This window comes from Homo sapiens, chromosome Y (genome assembly GCF_000001405.40).
Source record: "Homo sapiens chromosome Y, GRCh38.p14 Primary Assembly".
NCBI lineage: Eukaryota > Metazoa > Chordata > Mammalia > Primates > Hominidae > Homo > Homo sapiens.
In genome coordinates, this window is record NC_000024.10 from 639,098 (window position 1) to 660,050 (window position 20,953).

At 51.3% G+C, this 20,953-nt stretch overlaps 1 protein-coding gene across 2 annotated transcripts in view; it reads left to right on the top strand.

The window, feature by feature from the left end:
• Positions 1-20,314, top strand: part of SHOX (SHOX homeobox) — a 35,068-nt gene extending 14,754 nt beyond the window's left edge. Inside the window, exons 4-6 of one of the 2 annotated variants that reach the window (NM_006883.2) lie at positions 1,724-1,781; positions 1,902-1,990; positions 19,688-20,314. In NM_006883.2, coding sequence (NP_006874.1) covers positions 1,724-1,781; positions 1,902-1,990; positions 19,688-19,732 — 192 coding nt within the window. In that variant the 3' untranslated portion in view covers positions 19,733-20,314. Of the gene's footprint in view, positions 1-1,723; positions 1,782-1,901; positions 1,991-5,293; positions 12,488-19,687 lie in introns of those variants that run through there. The other variant, NM_000451.4, reaches the window with a different exon arrangement.

Here is a 20,953-nt window from a genome sequence, read left to right on the forward strand (position 1 = left end):
AGGCTCGTAGGAGGTGAGAGGGGGTGGAATTTGCATGCAAATCTTCACATGAGGCCTGTGTGAATTTCTCCAGCCTCCTGAGGGTCCCCTGCGCTATTGCACTCAACTTCTTGATAGTTTACCCCAAGACTCAGAAGTCCTTAGAGGGGCAGAATGCCCCCACCACAAAGCCTGCTATCCTTGGGCGTCCTCATGACCCTTGGTCATGAATGGGACCCTTTCATGTATGGGGACCCTTGGTAATATGAATGGGACGCCTTCAGCTCCCCAGGGCTTCCGAGGAGGCCGAGAAGGGCAAAGACACTTCCGAGGAGGCCGAGAAGGGCAAAGACATTTTCTGGGCTTGGTGTGTCAAGAGCTAGATTGGAGAAGGGGCTGGATTTGGAACTCTTTAGCCATCAGCTCACCCTCTCCGTTTGTGGCTAAAGTCTGAAGGTGGAAACTTCGGTTCTCCTACAGGGTCTACAGGAGTTGGGGGGCGGGGCGCCCACACAGAACGCTGGAAAGTTCGACAGTCCACTTCCACTGGCTCGGAACTCACTTTTTCACCTTAAGTTCATCAGCGGTAACGCATAGGTCTCACTTAGGCAGGGCACGGATGATTTAACAATTTCTACTTCTAGGTCAGGTGCGGTGGCTCACACCTCTAATCCCAGCACTTTGGGAGGCCCAGGAGGGTGGATCGCTTGAGGTCAGGAGTTTGAGACCAGCCTGGCCAACATGGTGAAACCCCGTCTCTACTAAAATACGAAAATTAGCCAGGCATGGTGGTGAGCACCTGTAATTCCAGCTACTCGGGAGGCTGAGGCAGGAGAATCGCTTGAACCTGGGAGGTGGACGTTGCAGTGAGGTGAGATCACACCACTGCACTCCAGCCTGGATGAGAGAGCAAGACTCTGTCTCAAAAACAAAATAAAACAAAAACAAAACAAAAATCAAAAAAGAAAACCCAATTTCCAGTTCTAGGCCAGGTGCAGTGGCTCACGCCTGTCATCCCAGCACTTTGGGAGGCCCAGGAGGGTGGATCGCTTGAGGTCAGGAGTTCGAGACCAGCCTGGCCAACATGGTGAAACCCCATCTCTACTAAAAATACAAACGTTAGCTAGGTGTGGTGGTGTGCGCCTGTAATCCCAGCTACTCGGGAAGCTGAGGCTGGAGAATTGCTTGAATCTGGGAGGTGGAGGTTGCAGGGAGGCGAGATAGTGCCACTGCAGTCCAGCCTGGACCAGAGAGCAAGACTCCGTCTCAAAAACAAAAGAAAGCAAAAACAAAAAACAAGAGACCAGCCTGGCCAACATGGTGAAACCGCGTCTCTACTAAAATACAAAATTAGCCGGGCATGGTGGTGGGCACCTGTAGTCCCAGCTACTCGGGAGGCTGAGGCAGGAGAATGGCTTGAACCTGGGAGGTGGAGCTTGCAGTGAGCCGAGATAGTGCCACTGCACTCCAGCCTGGGCGACAGAGCGAGACTTGATTTCAGAACCACCACCACCACAACAAAACAAAACAAAAAATCCAAAAAAACCCCAATTTCCAGTACTAGGTAGTCAGTGATGCAGGGCTGGAGACAGAGGGGCGGTAAGTGTCTGGGCGCCCACCATCAGTCACCTCCCAGCTCCCAGAGGTGCAAAGTGCTTGGTTCAGCCTCATGGGAAGGATGCTCCCTGGGGAGGCTGGGCTGGGTTCACAGGGCTCTTCACATCTCTCTCTGCTTCTCCCCAAGGTTTGGTTCCAGAACCGGAGAGCCAAGTGCCGCAAACAAGAGAATCAGATGCATAAAGGTGGGTGTCGGGACTGGGGGGACCTGAAGCTGGGGGATCCTGCTCCAGGAGGGATGGGGTCGACGAGGTGCTGGCTACACCCAGGACCACCACACTGACACCTGCTCCCTTTGGACACAGGCGTCATCTTGGGCACAGCCAACCACCTAGACGCCTGCCGAGTGGCACCCTACGTCAACATGGGAGCCTTACGGATGCCTTTCCAACAGGTAGCTCACTTTTTCTTCCTCTGAAGATCCCTAGGGACCTGCTGCTCCCTTCCCCTTTCCCCTATTTGCTGCCGCATCCTGACACTCCTAGTCCCTCCCTGCCCCTGCAGACTTCTCAGCTGGCCCTTAGAAAAAAAGCCTCTTTTCCGAGGAGGCATTTACAGGCACCTTGGCACCTATGAAATCAGGCTGGGCCAGGCGGGGTGGCTCACACCTGTCATCCCAGCACTTTGGGAGGCTGAGGAGGGTGCATCACCTGAGATCAGGAGTTCAAGACCAGCCTGGCCAACTTAACGAAACCCTGTCTATTAAAAATACAAAATGGGTGTGGTGGCTCACGCCTGTCATCCCAGCACTTTGGGAGGCCGAGGCAGGTGGATCACCTGAGGTCAGGAATTCGAGACCAGCCTGACCAACATGCTGAAACCCCGTCTCTACTGAAAACACAAAGCTTAGCCGGGCGTGGTGGTGCACACCTGTGATCCCAGGTACTTGGGAGGGAGAATCACTTGAACCTGGGAGGTGGAGGTTGCCGTGAGCCAATATCGCGCCACTGCACTCCACTCTGGGTGACAGAGTGAGACTCCAAGACTCCATCTCAAAAAAAAAAAAAAAAAAATCAGGCTGTAAAAATCCACTTTTGGGAAGGTGAACACACACAAGCCCAAACAGAAATCTGACAAAAACCAGAGGGGTGAAAAGTCCACACAGTCAGGCACCCCCACCTGGCTTGCTGCCTGGTTAAGAAGGGCGCAGATGCCTGTGCCTGGATACCAGAGATGGGACAGACACCCATTCCCTTTTCATCACCACCCCCGAGTGCCCGAGGGCCTGGGGCGTCTGCCTGGCCCCTGGCCCCTGGCTTGGGCTCTGCACCTCTGAGCTGGAGACACCCTACTCAGCTCCCCACTTACTTTGGAGTGAGCAGCGCTTGGGTGCCCAGCGTGGATTTGGGGCTTCCAGGGAGTCGGGGTTCGGTCGCGGAGCCCAAGCTTCCCAAGGGCGCCCCCGCCCTGCCCTGGCTTAGTGGTGGGGATGGGATGGGGGGAAGCGGGGAGCTGCGTGGAAGGAGGTGAAGGGTCACAGGAGGAGAGAGCGCAGCGCCCACGTGCGCCCTGCCTGAACGCGCAGCGCAGCGCCCGGCTGCGGTGCCCCTTGCCCCTTCGGTCCCTAATTTGGGGGTCGGGAGTGCATGCGCGGGCGGAACGGGCTTGGGGGGGGGGCTCTGGCAGGGCGGACGCGTGGCCTCCCTTCTTCACCGTTTTATTCCAAGGGGACAGGCTGGGGATTGTATTTGGGCGCGTGTTTGGCTGAGGGTGCAGGGACTTGGGGGGTGGCGGTGGGGAGCGCGGAAGGTATAAACGTATAAATCATAAGTAAACAACTCAGAAATGGACCCCGAGCGCTGGTCGCCGCTAGCTCTCCAGCTCTCCCTGGCCCAGGCCCGAAGGAGAGGGGTCCGCATCCCTCCGCGGTTCTCCTCTCCTGGGTACCTGGCCTTGAGGTGGGGGAACGAGCCTACTTCTTGTACCGTCTTTTGCCGACGGCGGGACCCAGTGAAATTAGGCCGTTGGAGCCCGCAGGCCTGCCTGGCTTTGCGCACCGGAGTCTTGGGGACCTGGTGTCCCCGGGAAAAACTTGGGGACCTGGTATCCCCGGGAGAGGCTTGGGGACCTGGTGTCCCGGGAGAGGCTTGGGTACCTGGTTTCTCTGGAAGAGGCTTGGACACCTGGTGTCCTGGGAGGGCCTTTGGGACCTGGTGTCCTGGGAGAGGCTTGGAGATCTGTTGTCCTGGGAGAGGCTTGGGGACCTGGTGTCCCTGGAGAGGCTTGGGGACCTGGTGACCTTGGAGAGGCTTGGAGACCTGGTGTTCTGGGAGAGGCTTGGGGACCTGGTGTTCTGGGAGAGGCTTGGGGACCTGGTGTCTCTGGAAGAGGCTTGGACACCTGGTGACCCGGGAGGGCCTTGGGGATCTGGTGTCCCGGGAGAGCCTTGGGGACCTGGTGTCCTGGGAGAGGCTTGGGGACCTGGTGACCTTGGAGAGGCTTGGGGACCTGGTGTCCTGAAAGAGCCTTGGGGATCTGGTGTCCCAGGAGAGGCTTGGGGACCTGGTGTCTCTGGAAGAGGCTTGGACACCTGGTGTCCTGGGGAGAGGCTTGGGGACCTGGTGTCCTGGGAGAGGCTTGGGGACCTGGTGTCCTGGGAGAGGCTTGGAGATCTGGTGAGCCGGGAGAGGCTTGGGGACCTGGTGTCCCGGGAGAGGCTTGGGGACTTGGTGTCCCGGGAGAGGCTTGGACACCTGGTGTCCCAGGAGAGGCTTGGGGACCTGGTGACCTTGGAGAGGCCTGGGGACCTGGTGACCCGGGAGAGCCTTGGGGACCTGGTGTCCTGGGGAGAGCCTTGGGGACCTGGTGACCTTGGAGAGGCTTGGGGACCTGGTGTCTCGGGAGTGCCTTGGGGACCTAGTGACCCGGGAGAGGCTTGGGGACCTGGTGTCCCGGGAGAGGCTTGGGGACCTGGTGTCCTGGGAGAGCCTTGGGGATCTGGTGTCCTGGGGAGAGGCTGGGGGACCTGGTGTCTCGGGAGAGAGCCTTGGGGACCTGGTGACCCGGGAGAGGCTTGGACACCTGGTGTCCCGGGAGAGGCTTGGGGACCTGGTGACCCGGGAGAGCCTTGGGGACCTGGTGTCCTGGGGAGAGGCTGGGGGACCTGGTGTCTCGGGAGAGAGCCTTGGGGACCTGGTGACCCGGGAGAGGCTTGGACACCTGGTGTCCCGGGAGAGGCTTGGGAGCCTGGTGTCCCGGGAGAGCCTTGGGGACCAGGTGACCTTGGAGAGGCTTGGGGACCTGGTGATCTTGGAGAGGCTTGGGGACCTGGTGTCTCGGGAGAGCCTTGGTGACCTGGGGACCCGGGAGAGGCTTGGGGACCTGGTGTCCCCGGGAGAGGTTACGGGGGCTGGTTGGGGGAGAGAACGTTGTGAGCCAAAGTCCCTGAATCCCTGCGAAGAGAGCGCATCGGGAGCTCCCCCTGAGGGCGTTCCATTTGTGGACCCCCCTCCCATGCGCTTTGCAGGGAGCTGTTCGGATTCCCCTGGCCCGGCTCCCGCGGATGCATCCAGTGGCAGCGCCAATTCTGGGCCAGGGGGAAGGAGGAAAGGCGGGTGTGGGGTGGTCTCCACGGCTGGAGAAGGGGCGACGCTCCCTAGGGGAGAAGAGGCACGTTGGAGGTTTCCGGGGGCGCGGGGCGGAGCAGGCCCCCCAGTCCCCATCCTGCGCCCTCACCCCGCCGGGTCCGCTCCCGCAGGTCCAGGCTCAGCTGCAGCTGGAAGGCGTGGCCCACGCGCACCCGCACCTGCACCCGCACCTGGCGGCGCACGCGCCCTACCTGATGTTCCCCCCGCCGCCCTTCGGGCTGCCCATCGCGTCGCTGGCCGAGTCCGCCTCGGCCGCCGCCGTGGTCGCCGCCGCCGCCAAAAGCAACAGCAAGAATTCCAGCATCGCCGACCTGCGGCTCAAGGCGCGGAAGCACGCGGAGGCCCTGGGGCTCTGACCCGCCGCGCAGCCCCCCGCGCGCCCGGACTCCCGGGCTCCGCGCACCCCGCCTGCACCGCGCGTCCTGCACTCAACCCCGCCTGGAGCTCCTTCCGCGGCCACCGTGCTCCGGGCACCCCGGGAGCTCCTGCAAGAGGCCTGAGGAGGGAGGCTCCCGGGACCGTCCACGCACGACCCAGCCAGACCCTCGCGGAGATGGTGCAGAAGGCGGAGCGGGTGAGCGGCCGTGCGTCCAGCCCGGGCCTCTCCAAGGCTGCCCGTGCGTCCTGGGACCCTGGAGAAGGGTAAACCCCCGCCTGGCTGCGTCTTCCTCTGCTATACCCTATGCATGCGGTTAACTACACACGTTTGGAAGATCCTTAGAGTCTATTGAAACTGCAAAGATCCCGGAGCTGGTCTCCGATGAAAATGCCATTTCTTCGTTGCCAACGATTTTCTTTACTACCATGCTCCTTCCTTCATCCCGAGAGGCTGCGGAACGGGTGTGGATTTGAATGTGGACTTCGGAATCCCAGGAGGCAGGGGCCGGGCTCTCCTCCACCGCTCCCCCGGAGCCTCCCAGGCAGCAATAAGGAAATAGTTCTCTGGCTGAGGCTGAGGACGTGAACCGCGGGCTTTGGAAAGGGAGGGGAGGGAGACCCGAACCTCCCACGTTGGGACTCCCACGTTCCGGGGACCTGAATGAGGACCGACTTTATAACTTTTCCAGTGTTTGATTCCCAAATTGGGTCTGGTTTTGTTTTGGATTGGTATTTTTTTTTTTTTTTTTTTTTTTTTTTTTTTTTGCTGTGTTACAGGATTCAGACGCAAAAGACTTGCATAAGAGACGGACGCGTGGTTGCAAGGTGTCATACTGATATGCAGCATTAACTTTACTGACATGGAGTGAAGTGCAATATTATAAATATTATAGATTAAAAAAAAAATAGCCGTGCACTCTTGACCCCGTCAGCGTCCAACGTGGAAAAGGCGTTACCTCTTCTCCCAGCGCTGGCCGCCTGGCCACTGAGGGCCCTTTGCAAAAATCACGGGTGTAGAGATGGCCCTGGGCGCGCTGGGAGTGTGGTTGTGTTTCTGAAGGGGATAAAAGAGGGCACGGTGGTGCCAAGATATCAGTTTGGTACCTGAGCTGTTTCTGGTTGGGAAGCGTAAAAGCCAGGGAGAGATCCAGAGAGTTTTCAAGTTTTTGCAGATGTAGGTGGTTCCAGCTTTTCTTTCTCCCCTACTCCATCTTCTGCGTTCCCCCAGTTCTTTTATTTCTTTGTTTTTTATTTTTGAGACAGAGACTTGCTTTGTCGCCCAGGCTGGAGTGCAGTGGCGCAATGTCAGCTCACTGCCACCTCCGCCTCCCGGGTTCAAGCGATGCTCCTGCCTCAGCCTCCCGAGTAGCTGGGACTACAGGCACCTGCCACCACCCCCGGCTAATTTTTTGTATTTATAGTAGAGACGGGGTTTCACCGTGTTGGCCAGGCTCGTCTCGAACTCCTGACCTCAGGTGATCTGCCCGCCTCGGCCTCCCAACGTGCCCCCAGTTTTATAAACAGCAGATAGCAACTTGTCGTCACAGCTGGCATGGGCTGGACAGTTGCTTGAAATGACCTAACCAAAAACATTCAAGGGTTCTGCCCCCAGATTTCGGGAGATCCACGTTCCATGTTCTGATTGGTTTTCTGGGAACACAGCAAGGGGTTTGGTGACCTCCGAGAAGATCCATCTGCATGATTGGCATTAGTTACCACAGCCTGCCCAGAGAGAAACTATCTTCTCCCAACATTTACTAACATCCACTGGTCAACTCTCTTATTTCCATAACACATTTGCATCTTTCTGGATTCAAGCTTGGTGGTTTTCTTTCCTAACTTCTGATTTAGATACTTCTCCCTGAGGTGGGGATAAAAGAAAAAAAAAAACAACTTCTTTTTTTCTTCCGCATAACACTTTCTATCTTGTCACTGAGCTGAACTGTAGATCCATTTGGACCCGTCTCATTTGTATCTTCTGATATTCTTTATACAAACCAAAAGTCCCCTTCAACATTTTTTATGTCAAAATGTTACAACCGCTGTAAAATGACGGAGAGAGAGAGAAAGAATCCCAGACATTAACGGTATTAGAGAGTTTGCCTCATTCATCCATTTTTCTTAAAAGCTGGAAATTAAAAAAAAAAAAGAGAGAGAGAGGCTTTAATAGTTAAGCTGAAATTTTTATCGAAAAGAAGAATTGCATTTTGAATCTTTGGGAAGTAGGTTCATTCATCAGAGTATGTAACCCTTTGGAAAAGTGGTTGGTAAGATATGTACAGCCCTAGATTTTTTTTTTTTAACCAAAAAGGCTGAGTAATTTTGAAAAATCGAAACATAACAGTGTGTCATCATTTCCTCCCAAGAAAAAGCTCACTCCACGTGAGTAGAAAGACATCTACCTGGTCCCTGTAGAATCTGAACGTTTCTCTTTAGAGACGGAATTTCAATCTTGTCCCCCAGGCTGGAGTGCAGTGGCACAATCTCGGCTCACCGCAACCTCCGCCTCCCGGGTTCAAGCCATTCTCCTGCCTCAGCCTCCCGAGTAGCTGGGATTACAGGCACCTGCCACCAGGCCTGGGTAACTTTCTGGTATTTTTAGTAGAGACAGGGTTTCAGCCTCCCGAGTAGCTGGGATTACAGGCACCTGCCACCAGGCCTGGGTAACTTTCTGGTATTTTTAGTAGAGACAGGGTTTCAGCCTCCCGAGTAGCTGGGATTACAGGCACCTGCCACCAGGCCTGGGTAACTTTCTGGTATTTTTAGTAGAGACAGGGTTTCAGCCTCCCGAGTAGCTGGGATTACAGGCACCTGCCACCAGGCCTGGGTAACTTTCTGGTATTTTTAGTAGAGACAGGGTTTCGGCCTCCCGAGTAGCTGGGATTACAGGCACCTGCCACCAGGCCTGGGTAACTTTCTGGTATTTTTAGTAGAGACAGGGTTTCGGCCTCCCGAGTAGCTGGGATTACAGGCACCTGCCACCAGGCCTGGGTAACTTTCTGGTATTTTTAGTAGAGACAGGGTTTCAGCCTCCCGAGTAGCTGGGATTACAGGCACCTGCCACCAGGCCTGGGTAACTTTCTGGTATTTTTAGTAGAGACAGGGTTTCGGCCTCCCGAGTAGCTGGGATTACAGGCACCTGCCACCAGGCCTGGGTAACTTTCTGGTATTTTTAGTACAGACAGGGTTTCAGCCTCCCGAGTAGCTGGGATTACAGGCACCTGCCACCAGGCCTGGGTAACTTTCTGGTATTTTTAGTAGAGACAGGGTTTCGGCCTCCCGAGTAGCTGGGATTACAGGCACCTGCCACCAGGCCTGGGTAACTTTCTGGTATTTTTAGTAGAGACAGGGTTTCGGCCTCCCGAGTAGCTGGGATTACAGGCACCTGCCACCAGGCCTGGGTAACTTTCTGGTATTTTTAGTAGAGACAGGGTTTCGGCCTCCTGAGTAGCTGGGATTACAGGCACCTGCCACCAGGCCTGGGTAACTTTCTGGTATTTTTAGTAGAGACAGGGTTTCAGCCTCCCGAGTAGCTGGGATTACAGGCACCTGCCACCAGGCCTGGGTAACTTTCTGGTATTTTTAGTACAGACAGGGTTTCGGCCTCCTGAGTAGCTGGGATTACAGGCACCTGCCACCAGGCCTGGGTAACTTTCTGGTAGTTTTAGTAGAGACAGGGTTTCAGCCTCCCGAGTAGCTGGGATTACAGGCACCTGCCACCAGGCCTGGGTAATTTTTTTGCATTTTTGGTAGAGACAGGTTTTTGCTGTGTTGGCCCGGCTGGTCTCAAACTCCTGACCTCAGGTTGACCTGCCCGCTTTGTCCCTCGCAAAGTGCTGGGATTACAGGCGTGAGCCACCGCACCTGGCCTGAATCTGAACTTTTAAAAGGGAGTTACTGACTCTCAACTGTGCGGGGACGGTTTCAGTTTGATTTAATATGGAAAGAGGGCCAAGTGTCATCCTCACAAATGGGTCCCCGAAGCAGATCAAACGCAGAGAACTGTGAGGGTGGGACACGAGTGTCTGTGGACACTGGCTGCCTTTGGCTTTTCTCCTGCGAGAGAAGTTGGGTGACTTTCTGTAGGTGGATGAGTGATCCCTGAATGAGTGTGGGGTACGTGTATGCTAGCTGCTTCTTTCTCCCTGAAACTCTCGGATGGAAGGAAGTAAGAAATTCAGCTTGGGCTGTGACCAGTTCTCACCACCAACGCCCTCTTCTCTCTCCCTTCTCCTTCCTTCCTTCCTTCCTTTCTTTCTTTTTCTTTCTTTCTCTCTTTCTTTCTTTTCTTTCTTTCTGTTTCTTTCCTTTTTATCTTTCTCTCTTTTTCTTTCTCTTTTCCTTTTTTGTTTCTTTCTTTCTTTTTCTTTCTTTCTTTTTCTTTCTTCTTTCTTTCTTCGATGAAGTCTCACTCTGTCACCCAGGCTGGAGTGCAGTGGTGCAATCCCAGCTCACTGCATCCTCTACCTCCTGGCTTCAAGAAATTCTCCTGCCTCAGCCTCCCAAGTAGCTGGGATGACAGGCACCCACCACCATTCCCGGATAATTTTTGTATTTTTTAGTAGAGACCGGGTTTCGCCATGTTGGCCAGGCTGGTCTTGAACTCCTGACCTCACATGATCCACCCGCCTCAGCCTCCCAGAGTGCTGGGATTACGGGGTGAGGCACCGCGCCCGGCCTCCTCTCTCTTTTTCTGAGATGTTTAGGAAGGACTGGGCTGATGGGGACCCTCTGTATGTGATGTGCGTGGGTTTGGTTTCCCGGAAGGCCCTCCAGAGACACGTTTGCGTGAACATTCAGCATGGAAACAACATACGTCTCTCCACAGGAGGTGAGAAATTGAATTTATGGGGTGGGTGTACGCTGGCGATTCTTGGTGCTTTTTGCTCAAAACAAGGTTCTTTTGAAAGTCACGTTCCTGCTTTCCCTGTGGCTTCCCGGTGAGCTCGCTCGCAGAGCAAGGAATACCACCCAGAGAGCAACGTGGGCTGTGTTCCGATGTAACGCCGTTGCAGAGAGAGGATTTGGTGTGTGAGATCCGTACCAGCTCCAGCACACTGATAGGAACACGTTGCTGGCCGAACTGAACGATGCTGGGTTGGGTCCTGATTGATACGTATTTTCTTCCCTCCTCTCCCCAAAACTTGGCCAAATAGTCCGTGGAGGGTTGTCAGTCGCCGCAGTTGAGCAAAAAACACTTCTTCCTTTGAGTGGCTGTTCTGGTGAAATCTGTTTCTGACATATCCACTTTTCTCTCTCTTTTCTCTCTCTCTGACTGCGAAGCACCCACAGGGAGAAGGAATTGGATGTATCGGATGTTGCTATTAGATTTTCTTTCTCCGTTCGAGTCTCTGACTGGTGCATACTTTGCAAAGGTGTGTTCCTGGCAATTGCCAAGAGTTAGAAAAATGCACCTTCTCTGGTGGCCGTTGGGGTGTTGTTTCACAGGCAGTGGTGACAGGGCCCCTTGGCTGTGGCTGTCTTCTCCAGCGCCGTGGATAAAGAGATGGGACAGATTCTGTGCCTCTGTACGATTTAGAGCGTAACTGACCGCGTCCAACACCCGTTTTTCCACTTACAAAGCTGGTGGTGCGACGGGCTTGGTGTCTCCCGTACGGGAAGGAGGCCTTTGGGCCGCTCCAAAGACGCCCTGTCGTAGGAATGGCCTCTCCATCCCGCCAAAGTCCAGCCAGGCCCCCGAAATGGTCCCATTTCCTTGGAAGCCTGAGTTTCTGTTCTGGTCTTGCTGCTGTCCTTGGCCACGTCAGCACGTGGGAGCATCTGTGGATACCGCAGAGTCTGGGGACAGCTGGGCGTTTAACCGAAATGAAGCCGAGACGGGTTTCAGGTTTTGGTGCCAAGCTCTGGTCAGGATGAAAGGGAAATACCAGAGTCCTCTGTCCTCGCCTCTGGGTTTCATGCTGACCTTTCTAACATTTGTTTTCCCCTAAGAACAAGCAGAAGCCTCCAGCTCCCTTTAGCTCCACAGTTTTCCCGGGGACATAGCGAGGATGGCACACGGCAGCCACTCCCACGACACACATTTCGGAGGCACTTTGCTGGAAGCCGCTTGTCTCCTCCAGCTTTGGGAGGTCTGGGGAGGAGAGAGGCTTTCGGTGGACACGTTTGACATTAAAAAAAAAAAAAAAAAAAAAAAAAAACTGGTGCCTAATTTATTAAAGAGAATTAGCTTAGCGAGTATATGCTGATATTCTTCGACACACGTGGGTAAGTTGATGCCATTTATAAATGTTTTATTGAAATTTGATATTTAATGAGAAGCCGGTTAAGGAATGTAGACAATATCCCGTTTCAAAGCTATGAAATGTGCTATTTATTGAAAGGGGATGTGGCTTCACGAGTTCAGCCCATTGTACGTGCAGGTCCCGTGGGAAGGAGGCAAAAGCCCCTGCTTCTTACTTTGTGATGTATGTGCATTTGTTATTTATTTTTTTTTCCTTGGTCGGACGTTCATAAATATGTACTATTTTAATTATGTCGAGTGTAAATTTGACATCGCGTTGCATTTATTTTTATATTTCTGAAAACTGTTGCTTTTTCTTTTTCCCTCCCCCATTGACGACATAGCGGCCCCCGCGTCCGGGTTACAAATACATCTACAGATATTTTCAGGGATTGCTTCAGATGAAAACAAATCACACACCGTTTCCCAAACCAACAGTCTTCACATTTCTATCCCTCTGTTATTGTCGGCAGGCGGTGAGGGGTAGAAAAAAAACAAACAAACAAACAGAAAAAAAAACCAAAAAAAACCACCCTGAGTTTCTCTGGTGACGCCCTCATTCTCCTAACGTTCAATAATCTCAATGTTGAGTTGCAGCAACAGACTGTATTTTTGTGACGCCCCGTAGTATGAATGTACATCTTGTAAAACTGAGATATAAATAAACTTATAAATATTTGTATTCAAGTGTTAAAAAAAAAAAAATTCTCAACCTCTCCCCTGAGGACAGGCTTATTGGAAAAAAAAAAAAAAAAAAAAAATCCTGAGTCGGCCGTGGCTGAACACAGAGTGTTGTTCTGCTCCGTGCATTTCCAGGGTGGGTACCCAGTGTTGCCCCCCAGCCTTAGATCGGGAGGTACCATTGACTTTTGCTTGTATCCCATCCCCTTCCTTTACTGAAACCTACCTCCCCGCTTCTCAGCCAACGTCCCCCCAGAAGGTGGCAAAAAAAACAGAGGAAAAAGCCCTGATTTGAATCAAGTCAGAGCTGCTAATTCTCCACTTTCTTTAATTAATTAATTTATTTTTTTTTTTGAGACTGAGTCTCGCTCTGTCGCCCAGGCCGGAGGAGTGCAGGGGCGCGATCTCGGCTCACCGCGACCTCCGCCTCCCGGGTTCAAGCGACTCTCCTGCCTCAGCCTCCCGAGTAGCTGGGATGACAGTCACCTGCACCACCGCGCCCGGCTCATTTTTGTATTTTTAGTAGCAATGGGGTTTCACCGTGTTGGTCAGGCTGGTCTCGAACTCCTGACCTCGTGATCCACCCGCGTCTGGGCCCGGCCGGTGATGTGTGTGCTTTTAACTTTTATTTTGTTCCAGTTTTCGACAGTGGCACGGATTTTCCAGCACGGTCTTGCAAGGATGATTGAGTCATTTTTGAGACAAAAAATATAATAATAATAAATGGAAAAAGAAATCGACTTTTAAAAATGACAAATTTTTTTTTTTTTTTTTGCATAGATTTTTCTCTCTTTATGTAAAGGAAAGTTCATGATTGGATTTGGCCGGCCTGACTGCTTCCCGGCTGTGATAAAAAACACATGTGAGCTGGGAGGGAAGTGGGGGAGGGACACAGCTGCCCACACAGGGTTCCCACCGCGGTTACAGGGTGGGCAGTGCTGGGGGAGCTTTCTCTGTGGGGGGCTCAGAGCCTGAGGACAGGTGAGCCTCTCCGACACCTCCCCAGTTGCCTGGAGTCTAAACCGTCCGTTGTCTGTACCGTCCGTTCTTCCTGCTGACTCCTGGTAGTTCCTGAAAGCTTCTCTTGGCCAGAGAAGGGGTTTCAGAGGCCGTGTGTCCAGGCCATTCTGCAAAGTGCAACTTGACCGTTCCTTTCCTTTTCTGGCCTGCGTGGTCTGAAGCTCAGAGCCCTCTCTTCACCCAGCCTGTGTGTGTCTTGCCGGACAGAAGAAAAATGGTGCTTTTTGCGTGTTAGCAGAGGTGCTTTTCATGGCTGACCTCAACGCGTCCATCTCCAGCCTGTTTTTTAGGGGCAAACGCAGGCAAGTTCTGAATGCACACAGTTATTTCATGGTTAAACTATTCAGCTTTGGCCGGGCGCAGTGTGGCTCTCACGCCTGTCATCCCAGCACTTTGGGAGGCCGAGGCGGGTGGATCACCTGAGGTCAGGAGTTCGAGACCAGCCTGGCCAACACGGTGAAACTCTATCTCTACTAAAAATACAAAAATTAGCCGGGCGTGGTGGTGTGTATCTGTAATCCCAGCTACTCAGGAAGCTGAGGCAGGAGAATCGCTTGGACCCAGGAGGCGGAGGTTGCACTGAGCCGAGATCGCGCCATTGCACTCCAGCCTGGGCGACAGAGCCAGACGCTGTCTCAAAAAAATGAATAATAAAATAAAATAACAGGAACTAAATAAAATAAAACGTTCAGCTTTGTTCTGCAAATCCACTCCTATTGTTTTACGTGGTTTGAGAGACTCTGTCCCTTAGAAATAGATGTTTGTTGCCAATTGTAATGAATCTGTTTCAAAAATGAACAGAATATTCAAATGGTTTGAGAGATCTTTTCCCTTAGAAATAGCTTGTTGCCAATCACAAAGAATGTTTTTCAAAAATGAATGGAATCTTCCTGGATATCGCTTCCAGATCTTCATTTTTTTTGCATAGTTCAACCTGAAAAGTAAGTGTCTCAGCCCTGAATTTCTTTCTGATTTTTCCATGGGTTGTCTTGCAGACTTCTCTGGACTTGACCACATTTAAAAAAAAAAAAATTAACTTTTTCACACGGACACGGTTTCAATAGGAATGAGATCTTTGAGTTTTTATGTAACAGATTCTTACCATCAGTTCTCAGATTCCCAAATTACACACAAAAAGCCACGGACTTCGCCTCCTGCTAACATGTCCTTCTGTTTCTGAGGCTTCTGTTGGTGTTAGACTTTCATGTTTAATAGCAGACAATGTAGGGATTTAAAGAAAAATGCAGAGAAAGCAAAAACACTGACCAAACACACGGAGATAAGCTTTCTAAAGCCTTTGTTCTTGGAGTTGTCGTTAAAAAAAAAAAGTTGTTTTAAACTTTGCAAGCATGCCTATATTGAACTCATAAGCAAGAGAGCCAAGAAAAATAGTGTCGGTCGTCTACTCTACACGTTTTCCCAAAACAGACGTATTTTAATTTCTTTTGTTTGAACTCACAGATGCTGAGAGTTAAAAGTTAAATTTTTGTCATGAACAATAGTGGCCAAAACCACAGTTACTTTTGCACTATAGCATAATAAGAAAAATACAGGCTGGGCTCGGTGGCTCACACCTGTAATCAAAGCACTTTTGGAGGCGAAACAGCCAGATCCCTTGAGCCCAGGAGATTGAGACCAGCCTGGGCAACATAGCGAGACCCTCATCTCTACAAAAAAGGTTTGTTACATATGTAACAAACCTGCACATTGTGCACATGTACCCTAAAACTTAAAGTATAATAATAAAAAAATTAAAAAAAAATTCACCAATCAACTGCCTGCTGGTGCCTTCAAGAGACTCACCTAACACATAAGGACTTGCATAAACTTATAAAACAATTCAATGGAAGAATCCTTGAAAGTATTCTGAGAAGACAGTATAATAAACTGATTTCTAAAAAGGCTATAAAAAATTGAATAAATCATTGTTGGGCATCCTGTGCTGAAATATAATGCAGCCAATAAAAATTACAAAATGAATAAACATTTTATAACAATTAAAAAAAGTCAAATAATTAGGCAGGCATGGTGGTGCTCTCCTACGGTTGAAGCTATTCAGCAGGCAAGAGGATACTTTGTTTTTGTTTTTTAATTTTTTTTGAGACAGAGTCTCGCTCTGTTGCCAGGCTGGAGTGCAGTGGCGTGATCTCAGCTCACTGTAATTTCTGCCTCCCGGGTTCAAGCGATTTTCCTGCCCCAGCCTCCCGAGTAGCTGGGATTACAGGTGCCCGCCACCACACCTGGCTAATTTCTTTTGTATTTTTAGTAGAGACGAGGTTTCCCCATGTTGGCCAGGCTGGTTTTGAGCTCCCGACCTCGGGTGATCCACCCGCCTCAGCCTCCCAAAGTGCTGGGATGACAGGCGTGAGCCACCGCGCCTGGCCCAGGAGGATTATTTGATCCCAGGAGGTGGAGGCTGCAGGAAGCCATGATTGCACCACTGCACTCCAGCCTGGCTGACAGAGTGAGACCACATCTCTAAATAAATGAATAAATACAGGCAGAAACTTTTTTTGTTTTGTTTTGATGGAGTCTTGCTCTGTCACCAGGCAGGAGTGCAGTGGTGCCATCTCAGCTCACTGCAACCTCCACCTCCTGGGTTCAAGCAATCCTCCTGCCTCAGCCTCCCGAGTAGCTGGGATTACAGGTGCCCGCCACCACGCCCGGCTAATTTTTTGTATGTTTAGTAGAGACGGGATTTCACCGTGTTAGCCAGGATGGTCTTGATCTCTTGACTTTGTGATCTGCCTGCCTCAGCCTCCCAAAGTGCTGGGATTACAGGCATGAGCCCAGGAGTTCAAGACCAGCCTCAGCAACAAAGTGAGACCTTTTCTCTCCAAAAAATCAAAAATTTAGCCAGCTGTGGTGGCTCCTGCCCGTGATCCCAGTACTGTGGGAGGCTGAGGCAGAATTGCTTGAGCCCAGGAGTTCGAGACCAACCTCAGCAAAAAGGACTCTCTCTCTGTCTCTCTCTCTCTCTCTCTCTCTCTCTCTCTCTCTCTCTCTCTCTCTATATATATATATATATATATATATATATATATATATATATATGAGTTTCAAAAATTGCTGGGTGACCAGCTCATCTACTGGTTTTCCCCTTGGGAAAGTGAAATTGTCATGTATTGAAGATTTCCAAGGAAGTTGTATTGAATGAGAAACAAACTCAATCTGTTCGTGTTTAAAGAGCTGCAGTGCGTTTGCCGTGTTTCCCATAAAACTGCACTTCCAAAAGACACGCTGAGAAAGGAGACCAGGATTTGTAATTCAGAAATTGGAAAGCAAGTTAGGCTGGACGTGGTAGCTCACGCTTGTTGTAATCTCAGCACTCTGGGAGGCTGAGGCAGGAGGATCACTTGAGCCCAGGAGTTCAAGACCAGCCCGTGCCACATGGTGAAACCCTGTCTCTCCAAAAAATAAAACATTTAGCCAGATGTGGTGACTCATGCCTGTAATCCCGGTATTCTGGGAGGCTGAGGCAGAGTTGCTTGAGCCCAGGAGTTCAAGACCAGCCTCGGCAACAAAGTGAGACCCTGTCTCTCCAAAAAATAAAACATTTAGCCAGCTGTGGTGACTCATGCCTGTAATCTCAGTACTCTGGGAGGCTGGGGCAGAATGGCTTGAGCCCAGGAGTTCGAGACCAACCTCAGCAACAAAGTGAGATCTTGTTTCTCCAAAAAATCAAAAATTTAGCCAGCTGTGCTGGCTCATGCCTGTAATCCCGGTACTCTGGGAGGCTGAGGCAGAATCGTTTGAGCCCAGGAGTTCGAGACCAACCTCAGCAACAAAGTGAGATCTTGTTTCTCCAAAAAAATCAAAAATTTAGCCAGCTGTGCTGGCTGATGCCTGTAATCCCGGTACTCTGGGAGGCTGAGGCGGAATTGCTTGAGCCCAGGAGTTCAAGACCAGCCTCAGCAACAAAGTGAGATCTTGTTTCTCCAAAAAATAAAACATTTAGTCAGCTGTGGTGGCTCAAGCCTGTGATCCCAGCATTTTGGGAGGCCGAGGCGGGCGGATCACGAGGTCATGAGATCGAGACCATCCTGGCTAACACGGTGAAACCCCGTCTCTACTAAAAATACAAAGAAAATTAGCCGGGCGTGGTGGCGGGCGCCTGTAGTCCCAGCTACTCAGGAGGCTGAGGCAGGAGAATGCCGTGAGCCTGGGAGGCGGACCATGCAGTGAGTCGAGATCGCGCCACTGCCCTCCAGCCTGGGCCACAGAGCAAGACTCCGTCTCAAAAAAAAAAAAAAAAAACTGCTGCCCAAGCTGTGTTTGCACCACTGCCCTCCAGCCTGGGCAACAGAGCAAGACTCCGTCTCAAAAAAAAAAAAAAAATGCTGCCCAAGCTGTGTTTGCACCACTGCCCTCCAGCCTGGGCAACAGAGCAAGACTCTGTCTCAAAAAAAAAAAAAATGCTGCCCAAGCTGTGTTTGCACCACTGCCCTCCAGCCTGGGCAACAGAGCAAGACTCCGTCTCAAAAAAAAAAAAAATGCTGCCCAAGCTGTGTTTGCACCACTGCCCTCCAGCCTGGGCAACAGAGCAAGCCTCAGCTTTCTGCCATCTCCACAACCAAGAAAGCAATTCACACAGAAATCAGTGCATCGTGCAGTGACCTCTTCAGAAAACCAATGAGTTTTCCACCTGAGGAACTGTTTCTGAGCCCCATTCAGAAGAACACATCCCTGTAACTGCAGGGCAGATTTACTCACTGATGCCTGTTTAAATAAAGCTTCCAGCCTCTGCATGGGGTCTGTCTGGAAGCTCCTGTATCTGTCCCACATTCTTGGAATCACAATGCACCCTTGGGAGGAAGATATGTATTTAAAGGGAGTGGATGTTATGGTGAGAAAATGCTGCCCATCCTTCTAGAAGACAAAAGCCACACAAAATACATCACAAGAACCAGTTTTTTTCAGAGAAGAACCTGCACAAAGAACCTGCTCCCCCCACACCCCCACACACAGGTGAATTAACAGGATGTATGTTTTATCATAAAAGCACAGGTTTGTTTCCTATGCACTCTCTGAGGATTTGGCCATATGCAAAGATGTACAAAAACCTTCTCTTTCCCCAGGGAACCGTAACCCGTCTGAAAAGATGCCCTTCTCAGAAGCGAGTTGAACGATTGTTGGAAAAGATAAAATACGACGTGCACACACAGAGTAGAGAAATGTCACCCATGCAAATTATGTGTTTGAATGGAACACATTCAGGAAGCTAAATGGGGTATGACCACACATTTGGGTTGATTTATTTGACGAGTGGAAGGGGCAGATGGAAATGAATACTGCTGTTTTCCTTTGGAAGGCCATATATGGGAATACCAAGAGGATTACTTTGGAAGTTTAGCTTCTCCAGGTGGTCTCTCTCTCTCTCTCTTTTTTTGAGACAGAGTCTCACTCTGTCACCCAGGCTGCAGTGCAATGGCGTGATCTCGGCTCACTGCAACCTCAGCCTCCCAGGTACAAGCGATTCTCCTGCCTCAGCCTCCCGAGTAGCTGGGATCACAGGTGTGCACCACCACGCCTGGCTAATGTTTGTATTTTCAGTAGAGATGAGGTTTTACCATGTTGGCCAGGCTGGTCTTGAACTCCTGACCTCAGGTGATCCGCCTGCCTCGGCCTCCCAAAGTGCTGGGATGACAGACATGAGCCAGCACGCCCGGCCCCAGGTGGTCTTTTTAGCGGGTATTAAAGCAGCTTTCTCTCTGAGCCTTAAACCATGAAGATAGACAGACTCAGTGTATGGGTTTTAGAGTTGTAATTTTATAAAAATAAGAAAAAGTCGACCTATCATTGATGGTTAGTATTTTTTGTAGCAGTTGCATGCAATATTAGGATAAGGCATGTTCTCAAAAAGAACTCTTTTTTTTTTTTTTTTTGAGACGGAGTCTCGCTCTGTCACCCAGGCTGGAGTGCAGTGGCACGATCTCCGCTCACTGCAAGCTCCTCTTCCCGGGTTCACGCCATTCTCCTGCCTCAGCCTCCCCAGTAGCTGGGACTACAGGCGCCCGCCACCGCGCCCGGCTAATTTTTTGTATTTTTAGTAGAGACGGGGTTTCACCGTGTTAGCCAGGAAGGTCTCGATCTCCTGACCTCATGATCCGTCCGCCTCAGCCTCCCAAAGTGCTGGGACTACAGGCGTGAGCCACTGCACTTGGCCTTTTTTTTTTTTTAGATGGAGTTTTGCTCTTGTCGCCCGGGCTGGAGTATAATGGCATGATCTCGACTCACTGCAACCTCCGCCTCCCGAGTTCAAGCGATTCTCCTGCCTCAGCCTCCCGAGTAGCTGGGATTACAGGTGCCCACCACCATGTCAAGATAATGTTTGTATTTTCAGTAGAGATGGGGTTTGACCATGTTGGCCAGGCTGGTCTCGAACTCCTGACCTCAGGTGATCCACCCGCCTTAGCCTCCCAAAGTGCTGGGATGACAGGCGTGAGCCCCTGCGCCCGGCCTTTGTAACTTTATTTTTAATTTTTTTTTTTTTTTTAAGAAAGACAGAGTCTTGCTCTGTCACCCAGGCTGGAGCACACTGGTGCGATCATAGCTCACTGCAGCCTCAAACTCCTGGGCTCAAGCAATCCTCCCACCTCAGCCTCCTGAGTAGCTGGGACTACAGGCACCCACCACCACACCCAGCTAATTTTTTTGATTTTTACTAGAGACGGGATCTTGCTTTGCTGCTGAGGCTGGTCTTGAGCTCCTGAGCTCCAAAGATCCTCTCACCTCCACCTCCCAAAGTGTTAGAATTACAAGCATGAACCACTGCCCGTGGTCTCCAAAAAAAGGACTGTTACGTGGATGTTCTAGCTTCCTGTTCTCGTCTTTTCTTTGTTAATTGTACAGTTTGAGGGTGTGTGTGCGTGTGCGCGCGTGTGTGTGTGCAGTCTCCTGATTTCATGTATTTAATTGTTATTACCACCACCTCCATCTCTCATTCCTTCTTACCCTCACTGTGTAAAGATACATGTTGTTTTTAAATTTTATTTATTTATATTTATTTATTTGTATTTTTGAGGCAGAGTCTCACTCTGTTGCCCAGGCTAGTGGCATGATCTCAGCTCACAGCAACCTTTGCCTCCTGGGTTCAAGCGATTCTCCTGCCTCAGCCTCCCGAGTAGCTGAGATTACAGGCACACACCACCACACCCGGCTAGTTTTGTTTTGAGACGGAGTCTCGCTCTGTTGCAGGCTGCAGTGCAGTGGCGTGATCCTGGCTCACTGCAACCTCTGCCTCCTGGATTCAAGCGATTCTCCTGCCTCAGCCTCCCAAGTAGCTGGGATTACAGGCGCCCACCGCCACACCTGGCTAATTTTTTATTGGTAGTAGAGACGGGGTTTCTCCATGTTGACCAGACTGGTCTTGAACTCCCAACCTCGGGTGATCCACCCACCTGGGCCTCCCAAAGTGCTGGGATGACAGGCGAGGGCCACCGCGTCC